The sequence below is a fragment of the Homo sapiens genome, chromosome 9, assembly GCF_000001405.40.
Source record: "Homo sapiens chromosome 9, GRCh38.p14 Primary Assembly".
NCBI classification, from domain to species: domain Eukaryota; kingdom Metazoa; phylum Chordata; class Mammalia; order Primates; family Hominidae; genus Homo; species Homo sapiens.
In genome coordinates this window covers 79,659,681-79,684,708 of record NC_000009.12, presented here as the reverse complement: position 1 = coordinate 79,684,708, position 25,028 = coordinate 79,659,681, and the positions used below count along the sequence as shown (strand labels likewise).

The following is a 25,028-nucleotide window of genomic DNA, read 5'->3' as shown; positions in this document are numbered from 1 at the left end:
GGGAGAGCCTGGTCAGTTGAGCTGAAGACGTTCTAGACCAGCAGTCCCCAATCTTTTTGGCACCAAGGAATGGCTTCATGGAAGACAATTTTTCCATGGACGGAGGTGGGGTGGCGGTAGTGGTTTGGTTTTGGGATGAAACTGTTCCACTTCAGATCATCAGGCAATAGTTAAGATTCTCATAAGAAGTGTACAACCTAGATCCCTGCATTGCACAGTTCACAATAGATCCCTGCATTGCACAGTTCACAATAGAGTATGCATGCCTATGAGAATCTAATGCCACTGCTGATGTGACAGGAGGTGGAGCTCAGGTGGTAATGCTCACTCAGCCGCCACTCACCTCCTGCTGTGCAGCCTGGGTTCTAACAGGACACAGGTCAGTACCGGTCTATGGCCTGGGGTTTGGGGATCCCTGTTCTAGACCACCCAGCTGACTGCAGACATATAAGCAAATTCAAGCCCAGCCTAGAGAGAAAAGCTTCCACCGCAGCCAACACAGAGACCAATCAGATGTAGCAAATGCTTTCGATTTCATACCAGTATGGTTTAGAGGAAGTTCTTAGGTAGTAATTGTTAACTAATATAACCATTTAATTGAGGATATGCATTATAGGAATAAATACTCCTTCTCATTTTTAAGACATCCATATTAGAAATAGATGAAAATAATGTAAATTAAAAAGCAACCTCATTCCTTTTGGTTCTCAGGCTTTCTATGGAATTATGGTTTGTGATATCTTAAGAAATGAGTCAGTATATGTATAAATGATAAACTGTCGTCATAAGTTCATTACAGCTTCACCAATACCATTTCTGCACGTTTCATCATTGTACATGCCCTCCACAAAACTTTATTTGGATAGTATTATTACTGCCATGTTAATGAGCAAACAGAACTCCTGTGAGATTAGGTGACTGCTTAAGGTCACAAAGCTAGAGGAGTCAAGCTAGTATTAGAATGTAATATTTCTGACTCTAGGTCTCAACTGATTTTTACTAATCTCCTAATACAAAATACGGAGAATATTTCAAGATCAGTGAGATTAACCACACCTTATCAGTTCATGGATTAAAAGGCAAGATATAAAAAGTTGTATGTTGATGTAACTTACATAATTTAGAAAAAAATAGAATGGCTCACAGTATGATTCCTAAATTATACTGATATTCCAGAATTACATAATTTAGACATGGATCATTGTTGATTAAGGGACCAGAGTAATGGTGCCTTTGTAAAATTGGCATAGGTACCATGTAAACTCTTTAACTGGTTCTCTCCACACCTGAATATCAAAATAAGTTTAAACTTCATGTTTACGCTCAATTTAATTCTACCTAAGAGTTTCTTCCTGTGTACATTTCAAAAAGGGGACATAAACCATCTTTTAGGGTTCTCATTTCATGCAAAAAAGTAACTATGAGCCCTGAATGACCACAGAGTCAGCCAACTCTTGAAGACAAAGGAGAATAGGAATGGAGAAGGAAAGAATCAATCTTAAAAATAGGAGCAGTAAGGCTGGGAGTTAAACTGATGGTCTACATCAAAGGTCGGCAAATCTTTTTGTGTAAAGTGTTTGACAGCTTGACAACAATCATTTTAGGCTCTGCAACCCACATAAGGTCTTGTACATTTTTTTCTTTGTTTACTTGTTTATGCCCTGTCAAAGATGTAAAAACTATTTTTCCCTTACAGGCCACAGAAAAACAAACTGGGAAGTAGATTTGGCCTGTGGGCCATAGTTTACTCATCCCTTTGTCTATGTAAGAGCAGGAGAATGTAGTGTATTCCTACATTTTTTTATAACCTGAAGACTGTCACCACAACGATCATAACAAGTTTCTGGCATTCTCTTCTTAGGATGCTCTCAATAGGATCCAGGAGGTGAGATAATGGCTGTGGGCATAGTGTGATCTGCAACCCCAACCAAGAGTCATTTTACCACCCTGAGATGCTTGAGCATTTTCATTCTCATGATTTTAAATGCCGGGGAAAGGTCCTAAATTGTTACTTGATAACTTCAGTTTCATCAGGCAACTGAGTTTCATGGCTTAATTTAAGCCTAGGACACTGGACAGGAAATTGCTGGCTGACTGGTTTGGAACACCTGCCTGAACATTCCTCCCTCCCTTCACTGATTTATGACAAACGACTACTACAACGCAGGCCCCTCACAGGAATGCAGGAAGGCTCAAAGCTGAAAAGGACAAGGTTTTTGACCGCTTTGCCTCTTTTCAATGAGAGTTAGAGATAAGGTAAGCACACAAGTTCCAAGGCTGGACTTGGAAAAGGCATGTCAGGAAATCCTTGAGGGCCAGATGTGCTTTAGAATTCAGTATCTGGGGAATTTCCTAAAGGCAATATGATGCATATACTCTAACAGGGGCTGGAATAACAGTCTATAATCAAACATTAATACACTTTTACATCACTTCAAGCCAGGTTCAGTTTTGTTATGAATGAGATGCAAAAAAAACCTTTCAGTTTTCAGAGCTTTCTGGATTTCAGAATAGTGGATAAAAGACTGTGGGCCTGCCTGATCTTAAAAAGAGCCTGTATATTTATTTTCTCTTTTAAAATAAAGTTTTAACTTAAGAAAACCACAAAATAGGATGCTTCCAGATCCAAACTCCAACCAACTGCCAATGTGCTGAATCTGAGTGGCCCTCTTTATGGCACCACATCTTAACAATAACAGGTTACATGAGACACCAGTGAGGTAAGTTCAAACTAATCAAGATTTCACTCTTTTGGTAACATTTTCTTATGCTATCCAAGAGTCATTAAAAAAATATCAAATTATATATAACTATATTATATACCAAATTACACACACACACACATACACACACACACACACACACACACACACACATGCACACACTCTCTCTCTCTCTCTCTCTGTCTCCCTCTCTCCCTCTCTTCCTCCCTCCTCCCTCCCTCTCTTTCTCTCCCTCCTTCCCTCCCTGCCTCCAGGAAGTAGTTAAGGAATCCTTGGAAAATATGTAGCATATTTTTCTTAAAAAGTTATCCACAGAATCACTGAACAGATCTGTATCCATGTAGCCAGAAAAGTCAGTGTATCCTTAGAATAAGGACTTAGAATGTCTAGAATGTCCTTAATGTGGACATTCGATCTTCAATTCCTGAGAGAAATGTCCTAACACCCAGTAACATGAAAGCTAGAGATCTTTCAACTTTACCAGGCATGTATGCTGTCACTCTATAAGGAAAGAGCCTATATCCAATGAACCTTCGCTTCTGCTACAACAATGTATGTGAAGAGCTCTTTACCATATGAAGCAAGCTCTTCATCAAAATCTAACAAATATATAACAGCTATTTTTATTTGTACATCTAAACATAAAAAACAAAATAACGTTACTGAGTTGGCTGATAGTGACTTCCTTTAACCACAGCAGATTAAGTATATCCAAGACTCATTCTACTTCATCAGTACATAATTTCCCCCAGAGTAAATCTTAATTTTTGGATGTATTCACAGACTTAGAGAACTCCTAGTCCAAATATTTTGGTGTTAAATACTAAGTATTAATAAAAATACAAGTGAAGGGACTTGTCTGAGGTCCTGCAGCTAGTAAGAGACACAACCGAAACAGAGAATTTTAGACCAATATCCTTGATGAACATTGATGCAAAAATCCTCAATAAAATACTGGCAAAACGAATCCAGCAGCACATCAAAAAGCTTATCCACCATGATCAAGTGGGCTTCATCCCTGGGATGCAAGGCTGGTTCAACAAACGCAAATCAATAAATGTAATCCAGCATATAAACAAAACCACAGACAAAAACCACATGATTATCTCAATAGATGCAGAAAAGGCCTTTGACAAAATTCAACAACGCTTCATGCTAAAAACTCTCAACAAATTAGGTATTGATGGGATGTATCTCAAAATAATAAAAGCTATCTATGACAAACCCACAGCCAATATCATACTGAATGGACAAAAACTGGAAGCATTCCCTTTGAAAACTGGCACAAGACAGGGATGCCCTCTCTCACCACTCCTAGTCAACATAGTGTTGGAAGTTCTGGCCATGGCAATCAGGCAGGAGAAGGAAATAAAGGGTTTTCAATTAGGAAAAGAGGAAGTCAAATCCTCCCTGTTTGCAGATGACATGATTGTATATCTAGAAAACTCCATTGTCTCAGCCCAAAATCTCCTTAAGCTGATAAGCAACTTCAGCAAAGTCTCAGGATACAAAATCAATGTGCAAAAATCACAAGCATTCTTATACACCAATAACAGACAAACAGAGAGCCAAATCATGAGTGAACTCCCATTGCTTCAAATTACAATTGCTTCAAAGGGAATAAAATACCTAGGAATCCAACTTACAAGGGATGTGAAGGACCTCTTCAAGGAGAACTACAAACCACTGCTCAATGAAATAAAAGAGGATACAAACAAATGGAAGAACATTCCATGCTCATGGGTAGGAAGAATCAATATCATGAAAATGGCCATACTGCCCAAGGTAATTTATAGATTCAATGCCATCCCCATCAAGCTACCAATGACTTTCTTCAAAGAATTGGAAAAAACTACTTTAAAGTTCATATGGAACCAAAAAAGAGCCTGCATCACGAAGTCAATCCTAAGCCAAAAGAACAAAGCCGGAGGCATCACGCTACCTGACTTCAAACTATACTACAAGGCTACAGTAACCAAAACAGCATGGTACTGGTACCAAAACAGAGATATAGATCAATGGAACAGAACAGAGCCCTCAGAAATAATGCCGCATATCTACATCTATCTGATCTTTGACAAACCTGAGAAAAACAAGCAATGGGGAAAGGATTCCCTATTTAATAAATGGTGCTGGGAAAACTGGCTAGCCATATGTAGAAAGCTGAAACTGGATCCCTTCCTTACACCTTACACAAAAATTAATTCAAGATGGATTAAAGACTTACATGTTAGACCTAAAACCATAAAAACCCTAGAAGAAAACCTAGGCAATACCATTCAGGACATAGGCATGGGCAAGGATTTCATGTCTAAAACACCAAAAGCAATGGCAAGAGAAGCCAAAATTGACAAATGGGATCTAATTAAACTAAAGAGCTTCTGCACAGCAAAAGAAACTACCATCAGAGTGAACAGGCAACCTATAAAATGGGAGAAAATTTTCTCAACCTACTCATCTGACAAAGGGCTAATATCCAGAATCTACAATGAACTCAAAGAAATTTACAAGAAAAAAACAACCCCATCAACAAGTGGGCGAAGGATATGAACAGACTCTTCTCAAAAGAAGACATTTATGCAGCCAAAAAACACATGAAAAAATGCTCATCATCACTGGCCATCAGAGAAATGCAAATCAAAACCACAATGAGATACCATCTCACACCAGTTAGAATGGCGATCATTAAAGTCAGGAAACAACAGGTGTTGGAGAGGAGGTGGAGAAATAGGAACACTTTTACACTATTGGTGGGACTGTAAACTAGTTCAACCATTGTGGAAGTCAGTGTGGCGATTCCTCAGGGATCTAGAACTAGAAATACCATTTGACCCAGCCATCCCATTACTGGGTATATACCCAAAGGACTATACATCATGCTGCTATAAAGACACATGCACACGTATGTTTACTGCGGCACTATTCACAATAGCAAAGACTTGGAACCAACCCAAATGTCCAACAATGATAGACTGGATTAAGAAAATGTGGCACATATACATCATGGAATACTATGCAGCCATAAAAAATGATGAGTTCCTGTCCTTTGTAGGGACATGGATGAAACTGGAAATCATCATTCTCAGCAAACTATCACAAGGAGAAAAAACCAAACACCGCATGTTCTCACTCATGGATGGGAATTGAACAACGAGAACACATGGACACAGGAAGGGGAACATCATACTCCGGGGACTGTTGTAGGGTGGGGGCAGGGGGGAGGGATAGCATTAGGACATATACCTAATGATAAATGACGAGTTAATGGATGCAGTACACCAACAGGCACATGTATACATATGTAACAAACCTGCACATTGTGCACATGTACCCTAAAACTTAAAGTATAATAATAATAAAAAAAAAAGAAAAACAATAATAAAGTACTTCCTTAAACTAGAGTGCCACTGAAACCTAAAGCAACGTTCAGGTGATTTTGATGAGAATTACTGACTGTGTATTGTTTTTTCTCAGATACAGTGGTAATCTTTATAAATGATAGTTATTACCAAGCTATTTTAAGAATTATTGATAGAATAAATTCATTATTTTTCTCTGATTTAAAAAAAAAGATGAAGTTAGGATTAGGGAAAGGTCTGTATGTGGTTTCCAATTCAAGCTTGCAATGAAAGTCTGCTGATAAACAAGGACATTTACTCAAATACAATGTACATAGATTAACATCTACAAAGTTTTTTGGCCTTACTGCATTAGGTTCATTATAAAGTCAGGATTATGACAAAAGAATGGTACTAATTATTGAACAGGCAGATTCACGTACATAACTTGATGAAGATCATTATCTGTGGACCTATGCATCTAGATGCTTGATGAGGCTATGCATGATTTTTTTCTGCCTCATTTAATATATTTATAGTTCACATATCTACTAATTTCTTTAACTGAGACAGAGACTGCATACGTATAAAACAGCGTACTGAATTTGTTTAGCAATGACATCACTCACTAGTTGCTTTGTTAACAAGCTACTGAATTTGATATTCATCTTTATACATAAAGAAGCATTCAAAATAGAAGAGAGAAATTACGCCAGAAGTACCTGGTAAGGCTAACCTTTCAGTACTCTTCCTTCTAAAGTTCCATAGTTTGATAAATGTGTAGAATCTCTTACACCACCCACTTCTGATTCTATAAGTAAAAGAGCATCCACAAATTGACCACATTTTTATAGATGTGAAAACAATGACAAGCCTACAAAATTCACAAACAGGATAGTTGTGAAGATGCCACATCTTAAAACTTCTGGAATAGTATAAGCTCAATTAAGTTTGTTTCCACAAAAGAAAAAAAATTGAATCCATCTCAGATTATACACAATTCAAAACGCAGAATTGTTTTACAAAAAAAAAAAAAAAATGAAGAAACAACTATAACAAGTTATCAGGACCCATGATTACCAATTCAAAAAAATTAAAAAAGTTTCTACCACGGCATCTTGTCTCTGCTGTTATCATAGTCCAATACTTTCAACTAAGTAGAGTTAACATTTTGAAGAAAAAGAGAAGGAAATCTTAGAATGAGACAACATACATAAGGCACACAGCCCAATGCCTGGCCCATGACACATGCTCAGGATGCTCTAGCAGTCTGCTTATTATTACTTCTGTCATGGATACATCTTCAAAAGGACAGAAAATCATACAGAGGCCACGAACTAAATTAATACTAGGCACTACAACTTTTAGCATGCAAATAGTTTTTGAATTAGCCAAAATTACTACTTTGAATACATGATACATTTACTGAGAATTGAGTAAAATGCCAGGCACTCTGCAATTACACACACTGTCTCATTTAATCTTTTAATAACCCAATAAGATAGATATTATTGCTGCTACTGTTACTATTAAAAAGAATCTAGTTGGGGAAAACTGAGTAACTTGCTAAGTCATCTATCTCTAGTCTGCGATTTGAGCCCAGATCTATCCTTCTGGATTTTATACCATTATACCTTCCATAATACTATGTTTTATTCATGGCTAAAACCATGGATGCATGGGAAATGCATCTTCAAACACATGAAAGAAATTAAAATACTGAACACATCTTTGATTTACATGTCTGAGGCAGCTCCAACATTTCACTGAGAATATCTATATAGAATAACATTTAGCTCAAACTAATAATTTGAGGATTTTTTAAAATAATAAAGCTCTGCTATTAAATATCAAGTAAAATAAATCATAGGGTCCATCATACATCAGAAGAACCTAAGTGGTTATGCAGTAGAGGAAACTGAGGCTCAGAGAGAACAGACGTCATAGATAAGGCTAGACGATGGCCACGCCTCCCCTGAATCTAGTCCAGTGCTCTTTCTACCATATTTCTGGTTGGCTTTTCTCTCTTTCCACATATTTTATTTAAAAAACAAAATACAATACCACTTGCATATCCTACTTTTCTTTGTTTTCCTTTCCAGTATTCCATTCCCTTTTTCCCTGCCATCTCCTCCTGACCCTCCAGAAAAGGACATCTTAGTACCTTAGTTGGGTGGCAGTCACAGAAGAAAACTTGATTCCAGTGTTATATCAAATTGTTGGGGCAGCCTAAGGAATTAAGTTGAGGGCTGCATATCATAGTGATTTATACTTTAAGAATACCAAATTGGGGCCCATGGCTTCATAAAGGCATTTTCTTATATTAATTTGTGAATCTACATGAAAACAATTAATTTAGAGTATTGAGCCAAAATAGTTTCAGTAGTAACAAAAGCAATAATTTATTTACTCTATTTGTTGTGCCCTTTGCCAGAAAGGCCTTGGGGAGGCACAGTGACTAAACAATATCTAAACAAACATGACTGGCAATTAACAGATCATCAAATATGGCAGTAGTATAAAACGAGTGTAAAGTCATTATCCCTTATTGTCACTCTACCAGGGCAATCTAGCTTCAAGCATCTTGTGTGATGCCTGTTATCTAATCAGTTCAAAGTGGCCAGTACAGGTTGAGCAGCCCACACCTGAAAATCTGAAATCCAAAGTCCAAAACTTTTGGAGCACCAACCTGACGCTCAAGGGAAATGTTCATTGCGCATTTAAAATTTCAGATTTTTCAGATTTTGGATGCTCAACCAGTGAGTATAATGCAAATATTCCCAAATCTGAAAAAAACCAAAATCCAAAACACTTCTAGTCCCAAGCATTTCGGATAAGGGATACTTAACTGGTATAAGATTCTAAGACATTATCTCTCACCTCACTTTAGCTCCCTAATGTAAAGCTGAGGACTGTGTTTAAAAGAGAAGCAAAATGACCAACCACAGTGGCAGTGACAGTGCTTAGTGAATCAAAGAAGAACCTTGAAAATGATTAAGCCACCAGTCACAAATAGTTAATGCCTACACATTCTGGATTTTAAGGATATACTGATTTCAGGATTTTATGTTTGTTTTAAAGTGGTTGGTTAAATGAAGAATAAATGAAATTTAATTTCCATGTCTTAATTGTTTTCATGTAGATTCACAAATTAATATAAGAAAATGCCTTTGTAAAGCCATGGGCCCCAATTTGGTATTCTTAAAGTATAAATCACTATGATATGCAGCCCTCAACTTAATTCCTTAGGCTGCCCCAACAATTTGATATAGCACTGGAATCAAGTTTTCTTCTGTGACTGCCACCCAACTAAGGTACTAAGATGTCCTTTTCTGGAGGGTCAGGAGGAGATGGCAGGGAAAAAGGGAATGGAATACTGGAAAGGAAAACAAAGAAAAGTAGGATAAGCAAGTGGTCCCTACTTAATCCATGCTGTAAATCTCCAAAAGTCAGCTGATAGGAAACAAGAGCCAAAACATTGCAAGTGTAAGTGCTTGTTCATCAATTAGGGAAGGGCAGAAAGGACAAAGAGATTTAAAAATTATAGACACTTAAGTTATAAAGTATTATCACTACATCTGGTTAGTGGTTATAAAAAAAACCAACCAAACAAAAACTACCCTTTTTTCTTCATGAAATAAAAATGACATCAAGCTAGAAAATCCAAATTGGGGGATTCTGTTACTGCAAGAATATTCCTATTAACCTCCAGCAAACTGATGAGGCTACAAGTTAAAATCTTTGTCAGATTTTTCATCTGCATACATTTTAATTAATCAGATAGCAGATTCTGAACTGGTAGAAGAGGAGGATACATCTGTTGGATATGAGAAATTTAACACAAAAACACGCACGGGACTGTGTGATGACATTCCAAAATGCTCCAAAGTGAAATGGTCTTGAACCGCCACTTTGAAGGTCCTAAAAATTGTGAAGTATTAAAACATCCCGCCCCACGTGACAAGTTTACACTCTAAGGACATATGACAGACAAGTCACATGAAAAGAACACATCACAACAGCACTACTACAAATACACATATACAAAATCGATACTTTGGATTTTTGCTGATCTGACAGGAAAAGGAGGAAGCTCCTATAATCTTAAGTATTTTCCTACGTGGCAGGCCCCTTGCTGGGGCTCCTCCTATCTCTAATCTTTGCATTTTGCCTACATCAAGTAAGGTACATCCAGATGAGGGTTTAAAACTGACCCTAGAATAGAGATAATGAGCATGGGCTCTGAAGACTAACTGAATCCTAGTCAGCTCATCACTTATGTTCTGGGTGAACCAGAGGCAACTTACTTAGTCTCACTGTGTCTCACTTTCCTCATCTGCAACACGGAGATAATAGCAAACTCCACCTTAATGGGCTGTTCTGATGACAGCACAGAGTATATGCACCCACAGTGCTAATTATTATTCATGTCCAAGGTCATAAAGCTAGCAGGGGCAGAGCTGTCTCCAGAGCCCATGGCAACGGCTACAAAGCACATGGTTTTCACTCTATACTAAGCAGCCTTCTAGTGGTTTTCCTTAAACATTGAGAAAAGCAATAAACCACTTCTCAACTCTTTTATCTGGGAAGGGATCCCCACTTGGAGGGAAGCCTGAAGCCTGGGAGGACTAAAGAGGGCAAGGGTAATTAGGAGGAAGAAGATCCCTGGGTTCTGAACCCAGGGACAGGTTGAGTCAGGAAACATTAAGCAGAACGGCCCTACAAAATCACCCCCCAGGAAGGCATGGAGAGGCGTGACTGGAATCAACTGACCAGGGGTCGGGGCAAAAACTACTCACATGCAGCAATGGCCATCTACTCTATTTTGAGCCTGTGTTTTGTTTCATATTTAGTGTATTTGATCAGGTTGTACCCTGTGGTTTTGGTGGTTGACAAGAAGTAACATGTAAATTATGCTACTACTTCAATAGTTTTTAGGGGGAAATTACTCTGTTAAATGCAAGAAAAACTTTTTAGGTATAAAAGTATAAGAAACTAAAATAGGCAAGGAGGAAACCAATCAGAAACCAGAATTTCATTTGGAGTAGTCTCTTCCCACAAAAACAGATACTGTAAAATGGAACTATGCAGAAAATAATTTGAAAGATAAACTACACTTTTAAAATCATATAGTTCCAAAGGTAAATAAACATTTTTGGAATCACTGCCAATTGCCTATATGAATTCCAAAAGGTAAGGAACTCATGAAAGAAAAACTCCAAGACTAACTCACATTATTTTGCCTTAATGGAATTGGGTTACATTCAATATTGTTTTAAATAAGTGGACCACTGGTTGGGGTCTAGAAATTGTTTGGTTAGAGGGATATTTTTGTTATAATATTTGTTATAATCAGATTTGATTTGTACATCTCCCAAAACAAATGTTGTGACACTATAAAAAAATTTCAGGATCTTACGCCAAACACAACTAGCTCTTTAAAAATTTCATTCCTTGCAGAATGAAAAGACTGTACAATTCTCTCTGATATTTATTCTGAATATTTCAGCGATGTATCCTCCACGTTCCTGAAAGCCAAAGGCACATAATTTATAGCAGGGTTTCTAAAACCGTGCCCTTTTCACTGGTTGCTGGCATTTAAAGCATGTTTTCACACATCTTGCAATGTTCTAAGACTATCCACATTGATTGGAATTACATTTTAAAAGCATTTTTAATTGAGTCCCTGTGCTGAGAGTTTTCTATGCTCCACCTGCCCTCACTTGCACTTGTTTCTTTAACATAACTCTAATTGTCGCTGTAGAAAGTTTCCACTTTATCTGGTCCTTCCTCTTAGGGTTTTCTGAGCTACAGAAACACATGCTCCTTTCCCTTATCTTTTAAGTAACATACATCTCTACAAAGAAACACAATTGATGCTAAGTTCTGATAAACAGAGAAATGTGAATCCCTCTTAAATCAAATTCCAAACCTGAGCTAAGCAAGCAAAAGTGGCATCTCAGGTAGGTGATAAAGAGTAACAAAGATTCAAGAATTCTCAAGCACAGCTGACCCCACAAAGGCTTCTTGGGCCTTTGGTGAAGATTCCACTTCTCTAAAAACAAAGGTCTGGCGGTTGGTAAGAATGAACCGCCTCAAATATGGCCTCATGTTTCCCAGGTCCTCTGTCTCACAAAAACAGGTCATGCAGGAAGCTGACTCTATACATCCAGAGGTAGAAAACATGTAGAAAAACAGATTCACTTGAAAGACATCTCCTAAACCTTTGCCAGACCCACCCTGGCTCATGTGGGAAGTTGAAATCCTGTCTGCTCAGGGGCCCCTCACTGCCCGCCCACAGTGGGAAACTTGGCCATGTTGGTTGGTTATTCTGGATTCTCCTGTGGGAAAACCACACTCTTCCCATGAGGGCAAACACCATCTTATGCCCAGTGTGTATCTTACTTTCCAGGACTCTGGCCCCTTTGTCATTCTTATTAAGAAAATATGAAATCTGCTAGAGCCCTGTTGGTATGACTCTTTGAGCAAGCTGAATTTCCATTCTGCGCACCCTCTCTCCCCAGGACAGGAGGGCTCCTTGACATTGTAGCTCTGGAAGACAACTATGTAGCAGGGCACTAATCACTGAAAGGGCATCCCCCCTCCCCCACCACCACCTCTGCAAAAAAAAAAAAAAAAAAAAAAAAAAAAAGTGTTTTGTTTCAATGGCCTAAAAAGCATAGGCCGTATAAAATCTTCCAGACTGACTTTTTTTTTTTTTTAACGGAGAAACTGAGGCTAATCTTCACTGAAAACAAAGCAACCAGGGATCACACTATGAGAGGCATTCATGTCTTGAGTAGGGGTGGGAGTATAGTCCTTAACCTCCCCTTGCTGAACCAGGTCTGCTGTTCCCCAGCACCCTGAATACTGCAATCACTCCCTTCCCTTCAGATATACTTCTGTCAAAGTCCATAGCAAGGCTGACTCACTGCCTTGTGAGACTCCTCAGTTAACTCGGTCTGAAGAAAAGAAGCTGCAAATAAATCAGTATTATAGTGCAGGGATGTGTGTTCTTTCCCCAAACAGCCAACCTTATTGACAGGGATTAGGTGTATGAGTAGTAAAATAATGAAAAGCAGCAAGAGTCTCTCCTGCTCGACAAGCATCTGTTGGGTATACTCCCTCTCCCCACACAATTAGAGGAATGCCAGAATTGTTATGGTTTACAACACTGGAGGGAGAAGTCCATTTTACAGATAATCTGACACGAAAATAAAAGAGGCTCTCTGCAAAAACGGTAAACTGTGAGATCACAGTCCTCGGGCCACTCGTTGAGCTCGTCAGGGTAGTTATTAGCTTTTCCTACCAGTAGAAGCACACAACACTAGCATGGCAGGTGAATGTCTTTTAAAATCAGGATTTAGACTGACAGGAACCCAGAAGGTTCTTCCTCTTTGGTCTCCAATTTCATCCATTATGAGCAGCAAGTAGTTTTGCTGTAAAATACATAAAAGTCACATTCTCAGCCAAGGTTGAACTATCCCTAAACACAAAATCCCCAATGGAATTAAATATGTGCTAGGATCAGCTAAAGTTAATTCTCAACCATCTGCATGTACAAGATCCATTTTGTAGATTTTTTTTTAGGCAAAATTTAATCTCAATAATTTCCCTGTGGCCTGGCACACTTCTAGTTTGCTCCTTTCTGCTGTTAGTTTTGTGTTTGTTTGTGGAATGCAAGTTAATTTAAATATTAACCCTCCAAAGAATAAACACAACCAGGTCATTTTCAAATTACTCATACTGTACACTAAAAAAACAAACAAAAAAAAAACCAATAAGGACCTACTATATTGGGCAACTTTACCACTCCCATGTTACACAGATAGAGAAGAAGACTGCCAAAAATCACAAGGATGGTAAATAGCATAAGGCATGATTTGAACCCAGACCACCTGGTTCCAGAGGATGAGTGTCTAGCTGGTATTGCTACACTGTTTCCTGCCTACTGGCTGTCTAGAGTTCATAGCATGCCACATGCACAGAAGTAGACAGGTCCCAACACACACCAGCTTCCCAACCTTAAGAAATGCAGTTTGAACAGAGTATGTAGAGTCACCTTGAGTCACCGTTAACAAGGGTGATATTTTAGCTTTAAAAGCACAGCAAACATGAATACCTGCTTGAGCAGTGGGAAAGGAGGGGGAGGAAAGACTGAGGCATATCTGTCTGTAAAACAGGTCTTTTACAAAAATATGCTTACCCTTGCATCTCTGGTCACTGCCTGAGGGTGCAGTGTACCAATCTTTTTGACGTGGCCTAAGTAAATTTCTCTTGAACTCATTCTTTTCATTTGTGAGCCTTTTGTTGTGCTTTTGCCCAGGGTCTCATAATTTTGGAGTCATGCTGAGTCAAGTCGGTGTAGTCTCTTTCTTTCTTCTGGCTTGTTAATGGTGATAAACTTCTTGCCTTATTGTCTTCTCAAGTTTTTTTTTCTTTCTTTTTTTTTTCTTATTTAACTGTTACTCATTTTACTCTTTAGCTATCCCCTCTAAGGTGAGTCTTTTCAAGTTTTCTACTTGCACGATTTCCCTACCTCCTCTCTTGAGTAATAAACCCTGGAAGAACTACCAACTACTTAATCACATAGATGCATTTATCCCCATTCAGTGTCTGTCATTTCAGGGGTTTCTTCCTCATGAACTTCAGATCTAGGCCTTTACCATTTGACCATCTAGTACTGAAACAAGCAAAATATCTTCTGAGAGCTGAAACGTGGGGAGCATTCATGTAACTTTTTTGAGTGGAGCACAGCCATGTAACGCATGCCCCCATTTCTGAGAAAATCCTGACCTCTTCTCACTGGTCACTGCTCTCTAGGATTAAGATGCTGCAAAGACTAAAACAATTGGGCCATTCCCACTTTTAACAAACTCAGTAAATTCCTATTCTTTCCTAGATTTGGTCACATGAAGTACTGGAACAAGCACAATTACACAAAGGTATAATCCATTCTTTTTGTCACCAGTAGCAGAGGGGAATCCAATAAATGAGGTTGGAGAACAGAATGTTGAAAGGAAGCCTTAGCCTCTTCCTTGCTCAGACACTAGGTGAAATAATACCAACAAAACAATGTGAGTGATGGTGCCCAGAGCGCCTCAGACCAAAACTGCAGGCCAAAAAAAAAGACATAGCTTAATTTTCCTGACTATTCAAATATATTTTTAGTAACTCTTCAACTATCACTGAAACGCACTCTTCCAAAAGACATTTTAATTGCCTAAATACAGTTTCTGCCTATTCTTGCCCATGTTTTTTAAACATTTTTCTGGCCTCACTACTTATTCCAAATCTTCTACTTGTCAGAGAAGGCATATTCTGTGACAATTTCCATCTATCAAACGGTGGTGAGTTTTGCTGGCTTTTAAACAACTGCCATAGACCTATTTAGATAAACTGTTCAGAGGGACCTATCTCTGAAGCCTAACCACCTCCACTGACCATGTGTGCACTGAAAATGAACTCCTCAGCTTCTGAGTCAATACTCAAGGGGAACTTTCATTTGGAGACATTTTAAAGGAAGAAAAAATATGCATACAATCCTAAGCCAGGGAGACTTTATATTTTGGTTTGTGATAGGGAAAATACATGCACAAATGAAGCCTGGGGAAGCCTAAATGCAAAATGAAATAATCGAGCAGAAGGATGGCGGGCTTCTCCGACACTCAATCATTTTCAGTCACACTATGTTGTCCAGTAACCTGCATTGATAATTCCTCATGAATAAAATGCCAGCATTATCATCTGCAGCTACATTGTTGACATGCTTTTGCTATTTCACTAAAAATACCATTAATTTTCTGGCTTCACAACAGCTGAGCTACTCTCCATTTGAATATACAAAAGAGTATTTTGTTTAAAGCAAATTAAAAGCGTTCCAGTAGATGACTTCCATTTGCTAGCTATACTATTTTAGCATATACTGTTCTTCTTAATCCTCCCCACCTCAACGTCATGCCTGTCATCTCCCCAGTCCAAAATACTTCTATTATTAAAATTTTGTTTTAAGTTGAGGAGGGGGAATCTGGAAACTATTTCTGTTGTAACATTCTTGGCCTGCAAGCCACCTGACTGGCATGGTAAAGAGCGTGGCTTTTTGAGGGTTACAAGATACGGTGACCTCCTTGATTCTCTCACCTCTGTGAGCCAAGGTACATAAGCAACAAAATTTTCCAGTTTGGTATCGGAAGGGTAAACTGCTAAACACACACACCGAATACACCTTCCACTTCCCATCTAGATACGTTCCGACATCCTCCACTTCAGTCAGAAAGAAAACCACTACTCCTGCCAAGCCCTCCTGGCATCTCACCACTTTATTTGTTCCCATTTGTATCTAATGCTTTTGTCAACAGTTCAACAAAAGTCAAAGCAAACAACCCACTGCAAACACTGGGGGTAACAGCAACAAGCATGAATCCTTCACAATTATCCAGCCCAGCTGCTCACAGCTCGTCTGGGCTGCTTTCATTAACAACAATGTCAACAAAAGACTGAAACCCACCCAGTAACTAGATGGGTCAATACCACCACTGTATACCCTCTGTAGGAGGAAACGCTGTTCTCCTTTGTTGCTTGGGCAAACATGTAGAATAATTCAGTCAGATGGACAAGTGCTTGTCTAATCATTTGTTATGTGAATTATTCAACGACTTTTCACGTAAACTACTAAATAGGGCTCTTCAAATATTTCTGTGGCACTTCCAGCTGTCCAACTGTGGAAGTGCATAAAAGGAACAAAGGCAGATGAAAAGAGAAATCATGACCCGAGTTAGTTCCCAGTGATAATCTTTAGTTTAAGAATCTCGAATCTTCATGACTAATCCTTTTAGGCCTAACCCTTGCCTGGCATTTTCACTAGCATCCAATCTTTACTATGTGGACCAGATTGAGGGTGGGGTCGTGTAGAAAATCCTGACTTCGAAGCTCCACACTATCTTTACCTTGCTCAGCTTTAAATGGTACCCCAACTCCCCACCTTCCTTTCACAAGCACTTCCAATAGGCAGGATACGCATTTCGGATTTTTAATGGAGTATTTTAAAAACATACACATCCGTAAACAGACTATAAAACACAGTGTCAAAGCAGCTGTTCCTAGAGATTATCTTTAATGTTTTATATACATATATATATGTGTATATGTATGTTATATTTTAGAATTCCCTGGATGAATTTTGATTAAAACTATTGACATTTATTTAACAAAGAATTATTTTAAGATAAAACAGTTCTAAGTTCCCTTTCTTTCCTCTTAAGTGTATAGCTTATGAAATCATGTACAAACCAAGCAGCCTGGCGAGAAGGAGAAGGGCCCCTGACGTGGGCCCTGGCCCTCAGTTGGCTGAGCAACACCCTGTAAGACCAAGGGGGCATGCCCACACACAGCCTTTGTCCGTGGCCTCTACACCATGAGCTGGGTACCCAGGACCCTGAAATTCCCTGCCCTAACACCCCAGGCCCACTTCCAGGGTTTACTCAGTCTCAGTCCTCTTCCTGAAGCCTCCCAGGGTTAGATCAAGCTGCTGGTTTGAGTGTGTCTAGATCTGGGCGCAGCTGTAGGGGTTCGATGAAGCTTTGAAGTAAGAACTAGGGTGTGTACAAGAAAATACGTGAGGACCCACGTGGTTAAAGCAATGAACTCCAAAGTGCCTGAGAATTTTAAATTCCAACCTGGTCTTTCAGGTTATCACTAAGGTGTATTTATTTATTGGATTTATAACTTTTAAATACTTCAGTGTATGGTATGAGGGCCTCCATTTGGACTCTTTCACTGTCCCTGGGTAGGCCCAACAGGTTAAGTATCAGGTACAGTTTTTGGTAGCCCAGTCTTAAAATGCTGAAGCCACTGCAATCACCAAATGTTTCCATGTAATGTTGTGTGTCTAAGAAAACAAGCAGCATTTTTTTCCCCTAAACATTTTCACTTTTATAGATACACATATCTACAACACTAATTAAAGTGCTGATTTTATTTCTATTACTGCTTTTAAAACACAGTAAGAGTAGAAAAGTTAAAAATAAAATTCAAGAATTATGGCTATTTACCAGCCTAGTACATAGGAACATGACAGAGATTTTAAGAAACTGTTAAAAATAGATGAAGGGGTGGGGCGTGATGGCTCACGCCTGTAATCCCAACACTTTGGGAGGCTGAGGTGGGTGGATCGCCTGAGGTCAGAAGTTCGAAACCAGCCTGGCCAACATGGTGAAACCACATCTTTACTAAAAAATACCAAAAACAAAAAATTATCCAGGTGTGTGGTGGCACGTGCCTATAATCCCAGTTACTTGGGAGGCTGAGGCAGGAGAATCGTTTGAACCCAGGAGACAGAGATTGCAGTGAGCCGAGATCATGACACTGCACTCCAGCAGCAGCTTGGGTGACATAGGGAGACTCCTTCTCAAAAAAAAAAAAAAAAAAAAAACAAAAAAAAAAAACCCCACCCACACACACACACACACACACACACACACACACAGATGAAGGAAACAGCAGAGATTCATACTCATTCCACCTCATTCCTGCTTCTCACTCTAGCCAGTTTACTCACTGCCACTTGTAATTGTGGAATTTCTACTTTTTACCACCAGTGTCTACAGATTTTTAGTTCTTGGCATAAAAAATTGTGCTTTCAAAAACCAAATAACAGTCCAAGACATAGAAATAAAATTTGAGAATTTTACTTCCTTCTAAAGGTCTCTAATAATCCGTGTTAACTGTTCTACTTCTGAAGCTGGCTTCAAGTAACAACTAGAAAGCTGGCAATTTTTAAAAATACTCTTGAAAGAAGAAAATATCATCAGAGCTAAATGGGAGCAGCAAAAAAACAAATAAAATTATTTACTAATTTTGAAAACAGAGAAACCACCTGAAAAGCAAGTGAGGGTATTCAAGTGCCAAAAAATCAGATGATAAATATTTTAGCTCTGTAGTTCAATTGTTTTGCCGATTCCTACAAAACACTTTCTGAATTCGAGTAAAAGGCCCATATCCCGATTGGGAGTCGACAGAACGTTGCCACTGGCATTACTGTCAGTGTTTGCTAAAGGTTCATGTTTGCATGCATTTGCACATCAGCCCGGGCAGCTTCCTGGGAAGACTGCCTTCAGAGCTAGTCCTCCCATCATCATAAACTGGTTTTATATGCACATTTTAAAGAATTCAGGACTCACCAGAAGCTCTGAGAAATGAAGAGGAACGATCCATTAATATATTTTATTCTACTCAGAAGGCAGCATATCGCAATTCCATATTTTAACAGGAACATGATTTGAAGGAAGGGATTGTATCTAATCTTTACTGTGCACCCCCAATGCAGTACAGGCCTGTTTGCCCTCCAGCTGCTGAATCAATACCTACTGATTTAAATATTTTATTTGGACTGCAAGTTCATCTGTCAATACCAACAGGTTTCAAAGTCAGGAACCATTAATATAATTTTTAGTCAGTTGTCTAACAAAAAACAAATCAGAAAAATCTCTCAGCTACATACAGAGGTATAGCTGTGCCTTTTTAATAATCAAAGGAAAACATATACAGAATTGACAAGGAGTTCTTCCCACCTAAATACCTTTCAGTACTAATGCAATCGAACTTCTGTTTTAATACATTTGTTATAAAGGAAATTTTCACCCTAACAATTAACCAAATAGACTACATCCATCGTGAAACATTTCATATGTAATATTCTTCTTTCATTTCTCCCCAGGAAAGAGGGTTGACCCATAAGGAAGAATGGAGAGAGAAAAAAAAAGGGAGGCACAAAGAGAAAAAAGGAAGAAAAGAGAAGGGAATTGAAAATGACAAGGGTGAGCAAAACAGTTTACAAGTGAACATCTGGTATTGACAGGAGGAACTGAACACAGTCTGTACAGTCATGCTGAAGTCTAGAAGGAGGATGGCAATTTGAAAAGAGGGAGGGAAGAAGTGGCAGCGGGAGGCAGGAGGAGGGAAAGAACAGAAGAGGTCAGGGGTGGGGGACTAACTAACAAAAGTACTGTTCCTGGACGCTTACGTATTTAGTCATTATTTGCTCTATTCTCCCAAAGGCAAAAATGTCACCAGCTTAGTTTAAAATTTCCCTAAATAAGGTCAGACTAGGTTACTAACAGATTTTATCATCAAATCAGATTCCAGCCTACGCATCCAATTCAGGAGTCTCATTCAGAGCAGTGACAGTCCAATATGGTTTGGTTATAATCCCTGAGGCGGGGGCTGGGCCAAGGATGTGGAATAACTCAGCTTTCAAGTCCTGATAACTGTGGTACAAACACAAGTGATTATTTCAATTTTCTCTGCAGATTATTTTTTCAGGGCAACCCAATAAACCCAATAATGCCCAGATTTACTAGAAAAATTTTTATTCATTTCCCCATGCACCAGAAAGTAAGCTAATAACATCCCGCTGAGAGTGCTGTCAGGCTAAATCCCTGCACTGCTGAATGCACTGCCGGGATAAATCTCCCTTCACTTTCCATTCCACTATCCACTTTAGGGCAAGGCCCTGGGGACTGCTCCAGATTACCCCTCTGCACGCAGTGTCACAGGCACAAGCCCGAGTGGTCCAATCAGTGCCAAGAAAAGAACAAACTAAAAAAGATTAATTCACAGATGTTCATGCATTTCACATACACTGTGCCCCGTGGCCCGTTGCTAGGGCAACGGGAGACCACCAGTGCGCGCTTTATTGGCTTTATGAAGTGCGTCTCGGGGACTATAGTCCGAGAAACGCTGCATAATAATAGTGTGGCTTTTCTGAAGCCTTGTTTTGTGTTTATCCACATTTAACCTTCTGAGTATTATAAAGAGCACCCTTATGCATAGCTTTCAAGCACTCCTCCCTTCCCCCCAAAACTGCCACAACTTTCTATCTAGAAACATTAAATTGCATCTCTTAGGGGTCCATTTTGGGAAGACCCATGTTTATATTGCTCAACCAGTTCCGTGACCAAAAAAAAAAAATCTACAACCATTTAAAGATCACTACTATATTAGTGCAGCTAACCACATCAACCACCCAAACCCGAATACACACATGCCTTGTTTTCTATGAAACCAGGGGAACCTTGCTTTTGAGTATCAGGAGTCAGTTTTAGCCAGAAGGAATGTCAGAACCAGCAAGCCTCATCAGAGTCTGTCAGAGACGCAGCATCATCCAATAGAACTCTCTGCAGCAGTGGGAAGGTTCTGTATCTCTGCCGTTTTGGCAGTTTCTACAGCCACGTGTGGCTACTAAGGACTCGATATGTGGCTAATATAACTGGGAAAATGGGTTTGAAAATTCTATTTCATTTTAACTTTAAATAGCTTCATGTGACTAGTGGCTACACCATATTGGACAGGGCAGCCTCAGAGGCTTACCAGACAACTATCTATGTTTTTAAAAGTTCCTAAAAAGCTGTCTCTTCAAGCTTTTAGTTTCTGCTTAATTCATAAAAATATAACTTCAAGTAAATGTACACAGAATGGTCTTCATGATTGCCGTTGCCGCTAGCTGTGCGAGTCCCAATCAGCCAGAGTCTTTGTGAAAAAGGCTGAGGGAACAAGACTAACTTTCCCCTCCTTCTCCACCCCCACCCCCACCCCCACCCCCACCCAGGTTGGGAGGTTAAAATCACAAATGTCACGACTCTCAGAGCAGTAGCACAGATCAAGTGTTAATCTAAAGGGAAGGGGTGGGTGAGGGGGAGAACACAGGCTTGTGGGGGCGAGGGAGGATCTGGAATGAAGAGGAGAAAAATAAAGCCAGTGAATAGATCAATAGAAGCAACAGCTTACATTCAGATTCACAGGAGAAAGAACACACGGAGACAATCATTTCCTGGGAAAAGCTCAAGCCTAATGAGAATTTACTCTGCTCCTTTATGCGACAACCAGCCCTTTTGTGGCACGGGTTTCCTGACTGACAGGAACCCGGGGCCCCTTAATAGGATTTCCATATTATTTCCAACACCTGCCCAGAAGTTATTTGTTTACATCGAAGGAGGCAAGATTCTCAAATCAGACATCTGCTTCTAGTTCAGGCATATCTTAGGAAACCATCTAGAAAGCAGCTTTGTTACCATGGTGACATTTTTATTTTCCTCCTTTAGTTGGCTCAAAACATTAGCATTTCCAATTTTATTTTGTTGTTCAAAAGGCCAAATGTCGCTCACAAAAACAGAAGTTTAAAAAAAGATAAGTGAATAGAATTCTCAAAATTCTCTAGAATAATTAAAATGACCATAAGGAGCAATAAATAACAAGGAGATCTTATTATATAAGCCTACTGGCTTCTCTCACTGGGTGGCATCACTAACTTATTTACCTCCCCTCTCCCAGCCCTCTTCTATTCTCAAATTTGAAGTCAGCAACTTGAAAAGTAGCAATTTAAAAAAGAAGATTCAAGAATCCTTCAGGATATGATACAATTAAATAATGAGTCCATTTCCATGAAAAAGAATTCCTCATGCTCACCCTTATCACCATATCTTAGAAAGTTCACTTACAACAAGAATACTTAAGACATTTTAACTTCCACCTCACTGCCTGCATTTCTGTAAAAGGGGAGGGAAAGTGTAAGCTTTTCACGAACATTTAGTGGATGCAGAGGGGATGGAATATTAAACAGTGTGAAGGAAGAAAGGTGGACCGCACGTGAGCGGATTACATGTATGTGTGTGTTGTTCTCCAGTTTCTAGTGAAGGAAAACTAGAGGCAAAACTGAACCCAGGGGTTGGGAGGAGGAGGGTACTTAACCACCAATTCCAACTATCACAAATGAGCGGGAATTTCTTATGTTACATTACAATACTAGAACTCTCAGCTTACACTGTTTTTAAGCAGTAAAATTTATTACATACAAAAATAATTGGATTGGTTCTAAATAATGAATAATCTGATAAAGTTAAAGCAATGTGACTTATTTTATTCAATATTTAGATTCAAAGAAAAACAACTAAGTATTCAATGCTAACATTTCAAGTTTTGATTTGCCAAGTCTAAGCAGCATTACTGAGTTTTGAAATAACTGTATTATCTTCATTTAACAGCAACCTTATTTAAAAGCATCAAAAACTCTTTCAGAAAGTACTACTCAGCTCCTCAGCAAACTTCCTTTCTATTACTCTCTCATGAAGCCTGAATTCTCTTCAACCCTTTCACAAGGCAGTTGCCATGGCAGTAATCAGATATGACTCTCTAAGTCCAAAATTACAGCCCTTATTAAAGTGGTGGGTCCTACGCGTAGAAAGTCTTTTAACCCAGAAGATAGCTGAGCTACTTCAAATCACCACAGAACAAAATACATAAGTTGGACAGAGGAAAGTGTTGCAGAAATAATTCAAGAAAGAAGAACAAGAGTATTAAACTACCCCATGAGTGATTTTATAATTTTTCCAGAGTGGGGTTAGTGTTACTGTAAGAATACAAAAAAAAGATGGTGAACGATTCTTTGGAATAATTCCATTGGAAGAATTATCTACATTTTGAGAAACAAATGTTTTTGAAATTCAAGCGTCAACTATTAAAACTTAAATCTTAGGCCCCTCTAAATTTTTAAAAATGTTAACTATAAACGTTATAATATTTTTGCAAGAGATGAAATGCATCCTAATTAAGAAAATTAGAAATTAACTAAACATCAGTATGAAAATGTCTAATAACTAAGAGGGATGGTTTATGGAGGGAAAGGAATAAACCATTTTGCCAAATCAGCTGGAGAAAGCCAACCTGCCAACCAGGCCGCCCCTGTTAATTAGTATTTGTTCTGCTTCAGCGATCGGCGGAGGAGGGTGCTGCAAAACAAGCGTGTCTCCCCGAGTCACTCACATCATTAATCCATTTATGCTCACCACCTGAGGACCAGCTATGCCCTAAAGATATTTATTCATCTGTTTGACAAACAAACAATTACCACACATTTTTCTAGAATTAGGACACCTGTTACGTTTCACACAGTTTACATGCCTAGAGGCAGGTATCAATTAATACTGAACAAATTACTGCATCATAGATTCATAGAACAAAACTTCTTAACTGTTCCTTGATAACTGTAAATAGTAAAATACATGGTAGAAATAAATACCTAAAAGTCTTGTAAACAAATAATTAAAAAGCAATAGCAATGCTAAAACACTTAATTTCAAATTACCATCTTATTTTGTTATTTTGGGAAATTGAAAGAGTTATAACGTTAAATGCTTGAAAGGCATACTTTATCACCCTACCACCGAACCCCTCAAATGATTTCCTCACTTCTAACCACTGTGTTTACTTGGCTAATGGTATGGCCAACTTTATTGCTGAAACATAACCTATGGTATAAGATTTTTATTTCAAAATTTGTTTCTAGGACAGGACTAAATAACACATAAGAAAATAGCTACATTCCAAATACTTGGAAGAATGCCTTGAGTTACAGCCTTGAGATCCATGGAGGTTAAGTGACTTGTCTATTGATATTCAGCTTACCCAGTGGTAGAGAGGATTGTTGCAGAACCTGGCATAGCCTTCCTACAGAATGGCTCATATTCTAAATGTTTCAGTGTGCTTCCTTGTGGTGTCAAGAATACTTCATGGTGAATTACACCAGGAAAAGCCTTTTCCTTATGATGGGAGAATGGGACAGAATGAAATCTAGGTTTGTCTGTATACATTGGTGATGAACAATGAAATGGATTTTACCAATAATCAAGGGAGTAAGATATCTAGAAATGTATGCTGACCGTAAAAAGGTAGAGTTCTATTTCTATTCTTTAACCTTGAAACACAGGCTATGATGTATTTGAAATACAAATCCACTGTCCAAATAAGTATTGCTCAAGATAGGCTTTTAAAAACATATTTTAAAATATGATTTTAAAAATATATTAAGTACTTCTATTTCCTTATTAGGTGGTATCCCTGATTCCCCATGCCCTAACTAAGTAAAGTTCTCTTCCCCTAAATTTTTAGCTTCTTGAGGGGAAGAGTCTTAATCTGC

The 25,028-nt window shown here is 38.7% G+C and overlaps 1 protein-coding gene across 50 annotated transcripts in view, besides 1 other annotated feature; it reads right to left on the bottom strand.

Moving 5' to 3' along the window:
• Positions 1-25,028, bottom strand: part of TLE4 (TLE family member 4, transcriptional corepressor) — a 154,918-nt gene that overhangs the window by 42,174 nt on the left and 87,716 nt on the right. Inside the window, exon 9 of one of the 50 annotated variants that reach the window (NR_104239.2) lies at positions 13,371-13,500. The exons of the other annotated variants lie outside the window; for them this stretch is intronic. The gene's annotated coding sequence lies outside the window, so the exon portion shown is untranslated. The remainder of the gene's footprint in view (positions 1-13,370; positions 13,501-25,028) is intronic. 50 annotated transcript variants of the gene reach the window in all.
• Positions 21,090-23,504: an enhancer, noted in NCBI's record as "VISTA enhancer hs1360". NCBI's record gives its function as "enhancer in: hindbrain (rhombencephalon)[4/11] | midbrain (mesencephalon)[8/11] | forebrain[5/11]" and the evidence as "EXISTENCE:transgenic organism evidence [ECO:0001131][PMID:17130149]".